General features: G+C 41.9%; 1 protein-coding gene across 4 annotated transcripts in view, besides 1 other annotated feature; it reads left to right on the top strand.

Moving 5' to 3' along the window:
* Window positions 1-706: 706 nt before the first annotated feature.
* The window catches only part of LYZL1 (lysozyme like 1), a 29,259-nt gene continuing 14,665 nt past the window's right edge, over window positions 707-15,300 (top strand). For 3 of the 4 annotated variants that reach the window (XR_428650.2, XM_005252627.4, NM_032517.6), the window contains exons 1-3: window positions 707-867; window positions 3,480-3,643; window positions 4,156-4,314. Coding sequence is in view for 3 of the 4 variants with exons in the window: in XM_005252627.4 (XP_005252684.1) it covers window positions 755-867; window positions 3,480-3,643; window positions 4,156-4,314 (436 nt within the window). In the remaining variant the exon portion in view is untranslated. Of the gene's footprint in view, window positions 868-3,479; window positions 3,644-4,155; window positions 4,315-15,175; window positions 15,271-15,300 lie in introns of all 4 variants that reach the window. The other variant, XM_017016791.2, reaches the window with a different exon arrangement.
* Window positions 14,031-14,567: an enhancer, noted in NCBI's record as "OCT4 hESC enhancer chr10:29591323-29591859 (GRCh37/hg19 assembly coordinates)". NCBI's record gives its function as "activates a minimal SCP1, AML or CMV promoter by ChIP-STARR-seq in naive H9 embryonic stem cells {active_cell/tissue: H9 hESC(naive)}" and the evidence as "EXISTENCE:reporter gene assay evidence [ECO:0000049][PMID:30033119]".

A 15,300-nucleotide genomic window follows, 5' to 3' on the forward strand; every position in this document is an offset into this window, starting at 1 on the left:
CATTATTGGCAGATGGAATTTAAGAAAATATAACGATTAGTTAGGTGCAGCCAACAATAAACTTCTACTTAGATCTACATATTCTAATGAGAATTCATTTCAAATGTGTCACTAAATCTGAACATTGAAATAAATAGACCTTGAAAACAGCCCTTTAGTTATTGATTCACAAAGTGTTAAGCCAAATTTTTCAAAAATAATAAAATCATGTTATTACAAAAATATTTTATTAATAATAATTTGACTATAGCAAATGTGCTGTTAATAAATTTTTAATGTTAATTTCACCTCTATGTCATTAATTTTCAAATTTTAGTTTTATGTATGTTGATAATTTATGTAGCATATTAGTACTGAGGTACAGAAGTATGATTTATAACTCAATGTACATCTAAAGAGGATACATGCTTAACTTTCTTTATTAATGGAATTTGTGATAAAGTTTGCAGACGCCTCAGAGAAGAGCTCTCACTTGGACAGGAGGCCCTGGCCAAGTTGTGTAATGAGGAGGGTTGTTGAGGGGAAAAGACAAAAAACAAGAGGTATTAAGCCCCAGAAGACAGTTATCACCTGCCTCAGAACACAAGCATGCAGGATGATACAGCTTTTAGTGCCAAGAAGTAGAATTCTAGCATCTCTAGGTGGTGAGAAACAAAGGATTAAGAATTTTTCTTTCTCTAACACTCTAAAGAAATGTTCTTGAGCTAGGAAAGGATTACTCGCGCCTCGTTAGAATCAGACATGGCTTCAGGGGATGCAGGACGCTCCCCTGAGCTGCCTGTCACCGACTAAGTGGAGCAGTGTTTCTTCCGCAGACTCAACTGAGAAGTCAGCCTCTGGGGCAGGCACCAGGAATCTGCCTTTTCAGTAAGACCTAAATTACTCTTATGAGAACCAGCAATGGCAGGTTCTTGAAGGATGTAGAACATGATGCTTGGGGTTATCATTGCTGCGGGTTTTCTTTGGACTTGTTTGAGATCAGTAAAATTCTAAGGCAGGGGATGGAAACCAACTCTATTTGTAAGCTCTGTATCTTTTTTTCTTTTTTCTTTTCTTTTTTTTTTTTTTTTTTAGACAGGGTCTCTCACTCTGCTGCCCAGGCTGGAGTGCAGTGTCACAATCATGGCTCACTATGGCCTCAAACTCCCAGCCTCAAGTGATCCTCCCACCTCAGCCTCCCCAGTAGCTGGGACCACAGGCACACACCACCATGCCTGGCTAATTTTTGTATATTTTGTAGAGGCAGGGTCTACCTTTGCTGCCCAGGCTAGTCTCAAACTCCTGGCTTCAAGCAATCTGCTCACCTCAGCCTCCCAAAGTGCTTGGATTACAGGTATCACCCACCATGCCTGGCCTTAGCTCTGCATCTTAAACCTCGTTTGTCTGTCCCTCACAGCTTAACACAGTGCTGTACACAGCGGACTGGCATGCTCTCTCTGAAAAGGGCCAGATAATAATATGTTAGGCTTTGTGGTCTATACGGCCTCAAACACAATTACTGAACTCTGCCACTGTAGTTGGAAATCAGCCACCAATGATATATTACCAAATGGGTGTAGCTATGTTTCAATAAAACTTTACATACAAAAGCGGGCCTGGTTTGCCCACGCTTGCTATTCACGTTTGTAATGTACATGCCCCTCATGCAATGCAGTTCCTTACCTTATTGCTTAGTCACCTTAAAGCCCTGCTTGTTACTTGGTGCGGTGGCCTTGCTGATGACTACTTATCCCTGTTTTGGGCCTAGCCTTTCAATGCAGGAATCCAGCCCCAGGGAGAGAAACTAATGACTGGAGAAGTTTCTAGGCAAGTGCAGAAAATGACACGGGATGAACATATGTAAGAACATCAAGTTCAGGATCCCGAGTAGTTGTCAGAAATTTCACTTCACCCCATCCCAGCAAGGCTGTTGTATTTGGGGAAGACATTATTTCAAGAGGGGAAGAGATTGTGGAAAATCAGTAGGCAGCAGGAGACAGCTCTCTTGATCCTACTCCCATTTCAGATGATTCCGCAGGGGTCTCTTTATTGCCCCTCTGCTCCCCCAGGTGCTTTCCTCCTTTCATGAGGCTTTGTCCTCCATCCCTCTTGCTCCCCAGTCAGGTGCCAGACTTTTAGGAGGCCCCCCGGAGCACTGGTGGTGAAGCTTAGCAAAGCAATGCATTTGCAATCTAAGATAAAACACTCATGTTTTGGGCTGGGCATGGTGGCTCACACCTGTTATCCCAGCACTTTGGGAGGCCGAGGTGGGCAGATCACAAGGTCAGGAGTTTGAAATGAGCCTGACCAACAGTGTGAAACCTCATCTATACTAGAAACACAAAAATTAGCCAGGTGTGGTGGTGGGCGCCTGTAATCCCAGCTACTCAGGAGGCTGAGGCAGGAGAATCGCTTGAACCTGGGAGGCAGAGTTTGGAGTGAGCCCAGATGGCGCCACTGCACTCCAGCCTGGACAACAGAGTGAGATTCCATCTCAAAAAATAAATAAATAAATAAAAGCACTGATACTTTGGAAGCAAAGCTCCCACATTTGGAACTGAATCAAGAAAAGAAAATGAAAGAGTAGGTGCTTAATCTTCACTCTTCGATAAACCCCCAAACAATAACCCTTAAAGTTTTCCATACAGGCCCACGTGTCTTTCATCTGTGGCTGAAATGGGCTGTCTGTTTCTACACATCCAGTTGATCCTTGAACAAATGTAGGGGTCACGGGCACCGACGCCTGCTCAGTTGAAAATCTGCATGTAACTTTTGACTCCCCAGAAACTTAACGACTCCATAGCCTACTGCTGACTGGAAGCCTTACTGATAACATAAATAGCCAATAAACACATATTTTTTATGTTCTATGTCTTCTGTACTGGATTCTTACAATAAAGTAAGCTAGAGAAATGAAATGTTATTCAGAAAAGAATAAGGAAGAGAAGATACATTTACTATTTGTTAAGTGGAAGTGGATCATCATAAAGGGCTTCATCCTGGTTGTCTTCACACTGAGCAGGCTGAGGTGGAGGAGGAAGAGGAGGGGTTGGTCTTGCTGTCTCGGGGTGGCAGAGGCAGAAGAAAATTCACGGATAAATGGACCCACGCAGTTCAAACCCATGTTGTTCAAGGGTCAGCAGTATAGGGAATGTTTCACCCCTGTATTCTATTTTTCATTCATAGAATTAAAATAGAAATCCTAAAAATGCCCCCTGTGGTTTTCACCTGGATGTGTATTAAGGAGGGTTAATTTTTTTGCTTGCTTAACCCTGAGAACACAGCATTGACTTGAAAGTTACTGTATGGAAAAGCATTAAGGAAACAGCCTTCAGTTGCCTTCCTTCCCTGGACCGTAGAGTGGCCGGTTTTCCCTGATGGTGGCACTGAATGACCAAAGTGACAGGCAGCATCTAGGCAGGGCTGTGCACAGTCACCACCGCTGGATTTCAAAGTTCCTGAACCAAGATCGTCTGACCTGTTCTCCGGCTCTTTGGCAGGTTCTGTCTCCGGCAGGCTTTGAGGATGAAGGCTGCGGGCATTCTGACCCTCATTGGCTGCCTGGTCACAGGCGCCGAGTCCAAAATCTACACTCGTTGCAAACTGGCAAAAATATTCTCGAGGGCTGGCCTGGACAATTACTGGGGCTTCAGCCTTGGAAACTGTGAGACTCTTTCTTTCCTGCTCTCCTTCTGTCCTTGACCTTTCCCCTGAGATGTTGAAGGTCCTGGCCACACTCCCTGCTGTGTCTTCCCAACTACCCCTGCTCTGCCCTCACCGCACTCAGGGGTGGCTGCTAGCCTAACTGTGGCTCTCTGGGTCTCCTCTCCTTCCTCCCCTGCCCCTCATTTCCTTATTCCTGGAGTCCTGTCCTTATGACACTAGCCAGGGAAGGGGAAAATAATGCCACCTCTGCTGGCATTGTGGGGAGTGGGGGGACCTGACTGTTGGTCTAGATTAGGCTCAGCCCCTGACTGGGTGTACAGCTTCAGGTGTGCCATCCCAGCCCCCGATGTGCCCCTCGTGTGCCCCCTGGGCGCATGCCCGCCCTGCCCTGCCCAAGGTGTATTGGGAGGAAGCAGTCAGGTAACAAGGATAAGGAAACTCGCCCTCAGACCAAGCTTAGAGCAAAAGATGCACTTCCTTTGCTGGCGTTTCTGGCTTTCCCCCCTCCAGGGATCTGCATGGCATATTATGAGAGCGGCTACAACACCACAGCCCAGACGGTCCTGGATGACGGCAGCATCGACTATGGCATCTTCCAGATCAACAGCTTCGCGTGGTGCAGACGCGGAAAGCTGAAGGAGAACAACCACTGCCATGTCGCCTGCTCAGGTGAGGCTCTGACTTTCCAGTGATGCCATCCTCAGGACTAGGCGAGAAAGCCGACAATGGGATCACCAACCATGTCTTGCTTTAACTAAAATTTGGAGTTCAGGCTTGCAAATAGGTCTGTTCCAGATTGGTAAATTATGCAACAGTTTCCAAGGTGACACTCAGGATCCTGTGGCTGACTTCTCCAAAGATGACTTATTCCTTGTAGACAGTTTTATGAAGCCCCCACTAAAGCAGGTGGATGGACAAACAACCCTACTGCCCTTTCATGTTAGAGATATTTGATGTCTTCAGTAAGAAAAAGGAAGCTGCCTGCCAGCTGCTTTCCATAAGCAATTCGCTCAGAGGATGCAGTTTGTACTTCTTAGTGCAGAATGAGATGAATACACTTTAGGTTTCTTTCTTTTCTTTTCCCTTTTTCTTTTCTTTCTTTTTTTTTCTTTTCTTTTCTTTTTTCTTTTTTTTTTTTTTTTGAGACAGGGTCTCACTCTGTTGCCTAGGCTGGAATGCAGTGATGTGATCATAGCTCATTGCAGTCTTGACCTCCAGGCCCCAAGTGATCCTCCCTCCTCTGGGTAGCTAGAACTATAGGCACACGCCCGGCTATTTTGTAATTTTTTTGTAGAGACAGAGTCTGGCTATGGAGTCCCGTTATGGGGTCCCACCTGGGCTGGTCTTGAACTCCTGGCCTAAGGAGATTCTCCTGCCTCGGCCTCTCAGAGTGCTATAGTTATTGGTGTGGGCCAGTATATTTAGCTAGCCACATGTCTTAAACATTAGAAATTAAGCTAGAATTTACTTTCATGTCTTCTACTTTAGTCATTCCAGAAATACATATGAGCACAGCATTGAGGATAACAAAATACATCAGGCATGAATTCTGCTTTACCGAACTTTCATGTGACATGACAAGAAAAGAGAATATGTGCTTACATGAAGTTAAATCATGTAAGGAGGAGTGCGCTGAGTGCCATGGGCTTCAGAGGAAAGTGACAGTATTAAGAAAACCATGGAGCCAGGCACAGTGGCTCATGCCTGTAATCCCAGCACTTTGGGAGGCCGAGGCAGGTAGATAACCTGAGGTCAGGAGTTCAAGACCAGCCTGACCAACACGGTGAAACCCCATCTCTACTAAATAATACAAAAATTAGCTGGGCACGGTGGTAGGTGCCTGTAATCCCAGCTACTCGGGAGGCTGAAGCGGGAGAATTGCTTGAACCCGGGAGGTGGAGGTTGCAGTGAGCCGAGATTGCACCATTCTACTCCAGCCTGGGTGACAGAGAAAGACTCTGTCTCAAAAAAAAAAAGAAAGAAAAAAAGAAAATCATGGAAAATTCTGTAAACACAGTGATATTTGACCCGAGACTTAGAAGATAGGGAAGATTTGGGTAGAGATAGAGAAAAGTTATCCCAGGCCAGGGGAAGAGCAAAAGCAAAGAGGTGCCTGTGGGAAGGTGTGAAGCATGAACAGAGAGTAGGGAGAGGCTTGTTTTTTCTGTAACAAAGTGACATGAAGAGAATCCCAGGGAAGGCAGGTGGAGAGGCTAACGACCATCTGAGTGTGAAAAACCCAGGCTAAGAGGCTTTCACTGATTTCTGCCTGCAAGAGGAAACCAAGAGAGGTCAGTTAATTAAGCATTGCTTCAGCAAGATCAATCTGCAAGCAGGGTGTGGGATAGATTAAAGCAGAGACCATTTAAGTGTCACCACAGTTATTGAGCTAAGTGCCATAAAAAGACTGAATGATGGTCATGGTTGGTGACATGGAGAAGACTGATGCAAGAGATGCTGAACAGGCAGAGGGCAGAGCTCAGTCAAAGGCATTTTCTCTGTGCTGCCTCTAGAGTGTAAGTCCCTTGAGGGCAGAGAGTTCTGTTTCATTCACTGATGTATCCTCAATGTCTAGAATGGTGCCTGGCCATTGCAGGAGCTCAATAAATGTTTATTGAATAAATGGAGAGAATGAGGAACAAGAGTGAAGTCAGAGAGTCATAAAATATTCTATTGCAAATTCTTTCAGAGCAGAAAATAAACCGTTTTAACTTCTCTTTGCCACATCCAGGAGTCCTCTCCTTATTGAAGGGAGATACATCCCAAGACCCCCAGCTGATGCCTGAAACTGCAGATAATACCTAACCCTGTATATACTATGATTTTTCCTGTACATAGATACCAATGACAAAGTGTAAGTTATAAATTAGGTACAGTAAGATGTTAACAATCAATAATAATGGGATAATTATAACAATATACTGTAATAAAAATATGTAAGCACCTTCTCTCTGACTCTCAAAATATGTTACATTGATAAAACTAACCAACCACTGCTGAGTGTAAATGAAAACTTGGAAAATGAAACTGCAGATAAGGGGGAACTATTGTACAAGATAATCAGTATATGGGTTTGAATGTTTGAATGACTGAATAATATGTTAAGTTACCTAGTATATTGTCCCTACCCTAACATTGATAAAGAATGATCACTACCTCCTGAGATAGATCTCCCGATTGTTGGTCAGCCCTTAATTTAGAACATTCCTTTGTTAGGCCAAAATCTGTCTTCTTCTAACCTTCTATATCAATCCTAGTTTTTCCTTCTGGGTTTATTCAAAACAAGTTTGCTTTATGTTACACATAAAAACTTATTAACTGTATGCAAATGATTTATAAGTACCTCTCATCTCTGGTTTCTTATCTTCTGAGCTAAAACATTCAGTATATTCACTTTCCATAGGCATGACTTTTGAACCCTTCTCTGTCCCAGTCAATCTTATTAGCATTCCCTAAGAGCTCACCAATGGAGTCTTTCAGTTAAATATGAGGATTAAATGTGTGCATTTACCTCCCATGGTGGGCTGAGTCCCCAGCTTCCAAATGTCCACTCTCTAATCTCTGAAATCTCTCACTCTGTTACCTTACAAGGCAAAAGGAACTTTGCAGATGTGAGGAAGGATCTGAGATCAGGTAGGGGAGATTATCCGGGACAATGTGGGTGGAACCAGTCTAATCTCATGAGTCTTTAAAAGCAGAGAATCTTGCCCAGCTGTGGTCAGAGAGAGCTCCAATGATAGAAGAAGAAAGAGAGATTCAAAGTGTGAGAGGGACTTCACCCATCATTGCTGGCTGTGAAGATGGAGTAAGGGGCCATGAGTCAAGGGGTGTGAGTGGTCCCTAGAAGCTGGGAATGGCCCTCAGGTGACAACCTGCAAGCAACAGGGATCTCAGTCCAACACCCACAAGGAACTGAACTCTGCCAAAACTCAAGTGAGCAAGGAAATGGATCTTCCTGCAGAGTGTCCAGAAAGGAAAACAGACCTGTCAGCACTTTGACTTCAGCCCTGTGAATCCCCTGGCACTCTTCCAGCCATCGGAACTGTAAGGAAATTTTGCAGTGTTCAAGCCACAATGTTTGTGGTAATTTGGTAGGGCAGCAATAGAAACCCAATACCCCTCTCCTCCCTCTTGGTGTCCTGCCAAATTAATACCAAAGGGATTCGAGAATCAATAAGATAAAAAGATAAATCCACATATACAAGATAAATGGAAGAGGAAACAATACCAAAACATTTAGAAGCTGGAAAGCAGGAGGCAAGTGGTGACTAACTTAGTGATTAAAGACATCTGAATCCTAAATCAGCAGAGAGAAAGCTGAGAAGCAAACACAGAACCAACAACAACAACAACAACAAAAAGCTCTGAAATCAGTAGCATTAGCTACTTCTGGAAGTTAGAATGAAGACAGATTACAAACAGGAAGACACATTTAAAGTTCACTTAAGGAGTAGTTAGAACATCCAGTCCCTTCCTGAGGCATTCACCTACTGACTGCCCCTCACTCACCCTGGCAGAATACTGGGACTTTTTCCTCTAGACGAGTAAAGTAGAAAACCTCTCAACTGAGACCTCAACAATCTTTGAGGTTGAGAGCTCCAGACCACAGACATGGGAGATTAAGTTATAGTTTCTATAGTTCCAACCACCATCTCCACTCAGACCCCACAATGATGGCAGCCAGGCCAGACTCTCCAGATGAGAAGATTTTCTTCTAGGGATCTGGCCAAATTGAAAGGAAATTACTAATGACTCTGAGTGGGACTCCCCAGTGAACAAGACTGGTCAAACCTCCCTGCAGTGAGATCCACAGTTGAAAATCCCTACCTCTGAGCACAGGGCTCTGCCAGCCTTTAGTGCCCCTCTCTTAAATAGTTGCAGAGAGCCAAGGCTCACCAGACTTCAGAGGAGTAGCAGTGACATGAAAAAAAATGAAGCAAAAACCAAACAGATAAAACTTTTTGAAAGCAGAGTTTATGCAAGGAAATGAAACTTCAAATTCAGAAAACTACCATTAATATCTTCAGATAGATAAGAGAGGATGCTTGGATGAAACAAAGCAAGATGCTTTTTTTGAAAAAAAAAAAAAAAGAGAGAAAAAGGAAACATTCAGATAACCAAATAAAGAACCTTTGGAAATTAACAATATGATACAGAAATGGAAAACTCAGTAAAGTAGTTAGAAGATAACATTGAAGAAATCTCTCTAAAAGCAGAGTGAAAAAAAGAGATGAGTGAAAAATAGGAGAAATAAGAATGATAAAATAAATGGATATAAAAATACTTTTTAGCAGGAGAGAAGAGAAACAATAGATAGCACACAACCTTTAAAAAACATTTCCAGAACTAAAGAGCATGTGATTTCAATTTGTAAGGTTCATCACATGACCGGTACAGCAGTCACTCCTTGTCTATGGTTTTGCTTTCCATAGTTTCAGTTACTCATGGTCATTGTGTGACTCAAAAGTATTAAATAGAAAATTCCAGAAATAAACAATTCATAACTTTTAAATTGCATGCCATTCTGAGTAGTGTGATGAAATCTTGCACCATTCTGCTTTGTCTCATACTGGATATAAATTATTTCTTTGTCCAGCATATCCACATTGTATACACTATGGTCCCATTAGTTACTTGGTAGCTGTCTCAGTTATCTGCCTTAAAAAACATAGTATATGTAGAATTTGGTACTATTCATCATTTCAGAAATCTACTGGGAGTCTTGGAATGTATCCCCCTTGGATAAAGTGATTATTGTACACTCACACTCAGGAACATCCTCATACAATTTCGGAACATGATAGAAAAACAGAATATACAACAGGCTTCCATTTGAAAATAAAAGTTCCATACAAAAAATCAAGCATCAGAGTGACATCAGACTTCTCAACCACAACACTGGAAGCTAGAAGAAAATGGAAAAAGTCTTCAAAATTCTTAGGGAAAACCATTTCCACTATAAAATTCTGTGCTACCAAATTATCAGTACATTTTGAGCATAGAATGAGTACACTTTCTGAGAACCAAGTTGTTAAATTCTTTACCTCCTGTATCATAAAGAATCCTGGCTGGAAGACAGAACAAACACAAACTGGGTAATTGGAGGAGAATATTAATAAAGACTCTACTTACAAAAATCTGATCAAATCATAGAAAAAACATGGCAATAGTGAAGTAAGGGATTAGGAATCACAGGCAATTACCACCCCCTTGCCCAATGAGGAATGGAAAGAGAACTATGACCAGCACCGAGGTACAAGGGGTCTGCAGGGAGAGGACAACCTTCTAGGATCTGAGACCTTCCTTCAAGGGATGTGACTTGTGCTGAGTGACCTGACAGAAATAAAGCTGGAAGATATTATATGTATATGCCAACCTCAGTGTCCCTCCTCTGTCCCTTCCCTGCTGATGCCTACTCTTATTTAAACCCCTTCAGAAGTCAGAGGACATGGGAGACCATTGACGGCAACTGTGTGCGTTGGCCTCTGAGTGCACAGAGCATGGTGGAGAAGGGTAGAGAGTGGATCCGTCAGGGCAAAGATGACATATTCAGCTCACCTCCCATGCACCCTCTCTCACAAAACCGTAGGAAAACATGCTTCACAAAAAGGATAAACTAAAACAATAAAGAGGAAGACATGGTTCAGGAAACAAGGGACTCGATGAGGGAGAAAGGCAAGAGGAATGCCCAGCCTGATTGTGAAGGATGATCCCAGGATGAGCTTTTATTATAGATTTCTAGTTACACCTCATTATGGTCAGAGAATATGGTCTATATCAGCCGTCCCCAACCTTTTTGGCACCAGGGACCAGTTTGCAGAAGACCAATTTTCCATGAACCAGAGGGAGGAGGATGGTTTCAGGATGATTCAAGCGCATTACACTTATTGTCCACTTTATTTCTATTATCATTACATTGTAATATATAAGAAATAATTATACAACTCACCATAATGTAGAATCAGTGGGAGCCCTGAGCTGATTTTCCTGCAACTGGACAGTCCCATCTGGGGATGATGGAAGACAGCGGTAGATCATCAGGCATTAGGTTCTCATAAGGACCGTGCAACCTAGATCCCTTGCATGCTCAGTTCACAATAGGGTTCGCACTCCTATGAGAATCTAATGCTGCCACTGATCCAACAGGAGGTGAAGCTCAGGTGGTAATGCAACCAATGGCAAGCTTGTGGCTGTAAATACAGATGAAGCTTAGCTCACTTGCCTGCCGCTCACCTCCTGCTGTGTGACTTGGTTCCTAACAGACAATGGACTGGTATCCGTCTGTGGTTAGGGGGTTGGGGATCCCTGGTCTATATGGTTTCAGACCTCTAATATGTCTTTAATCTTGTTTTACAGCACAGCAAATGTGTCTTATGATGAATATGCATTTGAAAAAAAAAATGTGTATTTTATATTTGGTGGGTAGATGTTCTATAAGTGACTGTTATTTCCTTTCTGATTTTCTTACTGAGAACTTATTAGACAGATCTTACTAGAACTATCATATAGTGAGAGATAGATATTGAAATTTGCAACTATCATTTTAGTTTTGTCTATTTCTCCTTTCAGTCTTGTCCATTTTTGAAGCTTTGTTATTAGGCACATATTCATCGAGGACTGTTATGTCTTTGTGGTGAATTGACCCTTTTGTCACTGGAGTCCGTGTTTCTCCTTAACTCTGGTACTATTTCTCATCCAGAAATCTACCTTATCTGATAGCAATACAGCCCACTCTCACTTTCTTTGGGGAAGTCTTTGCATAATATGTTTCTTTCCATCCTTTTACTTTTAACCCATCTGGGTCTTTATATTTAAAGTGAATTTCTTATAGATAGCATATAGTTATGTGTTGCTTTTATATCCATTCTGGTAATTACTGCTTTTCAGTAGGAGTGATTAAACCATAGGTCAGCAAATGTTTGCCTAAAAGGCCAAATGGTAAATATTTTAGGCTTTTCAGGTCATATGGTTTTGATTGCAACTACTCAACCACGACAGAGTGTGAACGCAGCCATAGAAAGTATGTAAATGAATGGGACTGGCTGTGTTCCAATAAGGCTTTATTTACAGAAACAGGAGGTTTTCCTGTGGGACATACATCGTGGAACCTTGATTAGATCATTTACATTTAATGTGATTATTGATATGGTTAGTTTTAAATCCCATCTTGCTATTCTGTTTTCTGTTTATGCCATCTATTCTTGGTTCCATTTTTTCTGCTTTCTTTGGAATTAAAAAAAAAATTATTATTCTCTTTCATTTCCTCCATTGGTTTGTTAGCTATATCTCTATTTTGTTTTTAGTAGTTACTCTAGGGTTTCCAATAGGCATCATTATCGTATTACATTCTACCCTCAAATAACACACCACTTCATATATAACATATGAGTTTCTTAACAGTATTCTTTAATTTCTCCCATTTCATCCTTTGTGCCATGTTGTCACGCATTTTTCTTTTATATTTATATACCTCACAATCCATTTTTATTATCTTTGCTTTAAACAATTGTCTTTTAAATAAATTTTTAAATGAGAAAAAAGTTCTATAATATTTATTATGTATTTACTATTTCCAATACTCTTCATTCCTTTGGTGGATTTATTTGGGGAAGTAGTCAATCGATATCACTTTCCTTCAGCTGAAAGAACTTTCTTTACCTTCTTTTTGGTTTTGGTTTCGGTTTTTTTAGACTAGAGGTCTACTGGCAAGCATTTTCTCTGCTTTTGTTTGTCTGAAAATATCTCTATTTTATTTTGATTTTGAGGAATATTTTCTTTACATATAAAATTCTGGGATGACAGTTGTTCTCCTCTCAAGTTGTTGCTGTTTTGAGACAGGGTCTTGCTCTGTCACCCAGGCTGGAGTGCAGTGGCATGATCACAGTTCACTGCAGCCTCAACTTCCTGGGCTCAAGTAATCCTCCCACCTTAGCCTCCCGAGTAGCTGGGACCACAGGCACATGCCACAATGCCTGGCTGGTTTTTATTTTATTTTTTGTAGGGATGGGTGATATGGTTTTGCTGTGTCCCCACCGAAATCTCATCTTGAATTGTAACTCCCATAATTCCCATGTGTTGTAGGAGGAACTCGGTGGGAGGTGATTGAATTATGGGGGCAGTTCTTTCCGGCACTGTTCTCTTGATAGTGAATGAGTCTCACAAGATCTGATGGTTTTAAAAACAGGTGTTTCCCTGCACAAGCTCTCTTTTTGCCTGCTGCCATCCATCTAAGACATGACTTGCTCCTCCTTGCCTACTGCCATGATTGTGAGGCCTCCCCAGCCATGTGGAACTATAAGTCCATTAAGCCTCTTTCTTTTGTAAATTGGCCAGTCTCAGGTATGTCTTTATCAGCAGAATGAAAATGGACTAATATATGGGGTCTCGCCATGTTGCCCAGGCTGATCTCAGACTCCTGGGCTCAAGTGATCCTCAGCCTCCCAAAGTGCTGGGGTTACAGCTGTGAGTAATCATGCTCAGCTTCAAATTGTTAAAGATATTCCATTGCCTTCTGTCTTGCCTTGTGTATGATGGGAAACCAATGATTTTCTTATCTTTGTCCCCTGTATGTAATATGTCTTTTTTATCTAGTCATTTTTAAGATTTTCTCTCTATTACTCATTTTCAGCAATTTGATTATGTGTGATATTTGTGTTTATCTTACTTGGCATTCATTAACATTTTGTACCCCTGAGTTTATAATTTTCATTAAATTTGAAAACATTTCAGTCATTCTTTCTTCTAATACTCTTCTTTTCTCCTTCAAGGATTCTAATGGCACATATGTTAGATTGCTGCTGCTGTCACATTTATCACCATGGCTCTTCATGTTTTTAGCCTTTTTCCCTCCCTGTGTTTTATTTTCAGTAGTTTCCATTGTTATGTCTTCAAGTCCACTGTTACTTTTTTTTTTAATGCTAATCTATTAAGCTTATTGATTGGATGTTTCTTTTCAGATACCGTATTTTTTATTTGGTGTTAGGCAAACTTTCGTATCTCTCATTTCATTTTATTCATGTTTTTCTTGAAGTCCTTGACATAAGTAAGCATGTTTATAAGAAGTGATTTAAATTTCTTATCTGCTGTAGAATCAACTGTCATTTCTGGGTCTTGCCCTTGACTGATCTTTCTCCTGGTATGTGCCACATTTCCCTGCCTCTGCACAAGGAATCATTTTTTATTGAATACATACATAGTGTGTGTGTTGATGGCTGTTGTAAGTCCTCGAGTCTTGTCTTCTTAGTTTAAAAGAATTTCAACAAGAGATACACAGCAAAGGAGATGTAGCATAGACTAATTTATTGAAAAAGAAAAAGAATATTTTGTAAGTTAGGTGCAGAATGGACAGTACACCCTGAGAGAAACTTCAGGGCAGGCTGCTCGTAAGGATGAGACATCAAAGGCCGGCACGAGGGATGCTCCCTTTAATGGAGTCTTCCATGATTATTCATAAACGGGTGGGAAGAGGTGTTGCTAGTAAGCATGTTCTGGGCGGTCCTCTTCGTGCATTTGCGCAGTAGCTGTACATGGATGTTCATATGTCGCATGTCTCATTAGCATCTTAAATCTCCACCCAGGTGTGTGTTTTTTATTATTATAATGAGCAAAGCGTGAGTTTGAGGACAGGTAAAGTCAAAATGCGCATGTTCCCTACAGGGGAAATTCCCTTCTGGAGACAGCTTTGTTTGAATGAGCTGGCCTTCAGTGTGAATGCTGAGGCTCATCGTGTTGACTGGCCAGTCACCATAGTTGCCGTACCCCGCGGACACAGTTGCTTCCTTGCCTACCTATCCTGCCTCATATGCAACATTGTTGAGTGTCTAGACTATGTGTCTTCCTTTAAAGAGTGTTGAATTTCTTTTCCAACCAGCTAAGTTTATTCTGATCAGCGTAACTCTTAAACTTTGTTAGTGAAGTTCTGGAGTAGTTTTTAGGGTAGGGCTAGTTTAGTCCCACTACCAAGGCATAACTAAGCATCCAGTGTCTCTTTTGAATGTGCTGAGGATTCAGCAAGGTCTATTCCCTTGGGCTAGTCAGAAATCAAATGTCTTCCAGCCCCGCGAGGTCTGTAATTGCCCTGTTCCCTGGGGTAGTTCTCTGCCTAGCCCTGTGGAAATTTACCTGTGCATACCCAGTTTAGCCTTCAGTCAAAGACTGGGTGGAATCCCTTTGCAGATTTCTGCTGCTCTTCTTCTGGGTAGCTCCTGCCTCCCAGGTATTCTCCACAAAATCTGAGCTGCCTTGGCGTCTGATGTCTGTCTCCTCCTCTTAGATGGCCATCCCCTGCCTGGTTCTACCTTCCTGGTCTGCAGAGCTCCTCTGGGCAGAAAGTCATGGCAGTCACAGGGTTCACTGTGTTTTTCTCTCTCTCAAAGATCATGATCCTGCATTGCCAGTTGTCCATATCCGAAAACAATTTTTCATCTATTTTGTCTAGTCTTCTGGTTGTTTACAGTGGGAAGAGAAATCTGTGACTCCATCGTGGTCATGTTGGACTTTAAATGCAGATTACTAATTTAACATTGTTCAGTTTCATTCCAGTTAAGGAAGCCTGGGGCAAAGGTCTATCTGCAAGACAATCTTAGATTCTAAGAAATTAAAGTGTTGGACGGTTCATGGTCAGAGGTAAAAGGACACTCATATCTGTTTTCTTAT

This window comes from Homo sapiens, chromosome 10, assembly GCF_000001405.40.
Source record: "Homo sapiens chromosome 10, GRCh38.p14 Primary Assembly".
NCBI classification, from domain to species: domain Eukaryota; kingdom Metazoa; phylum Chordata; class Mammalia; order Primates; family Hominidae; genus Homo; species Homo sapiens.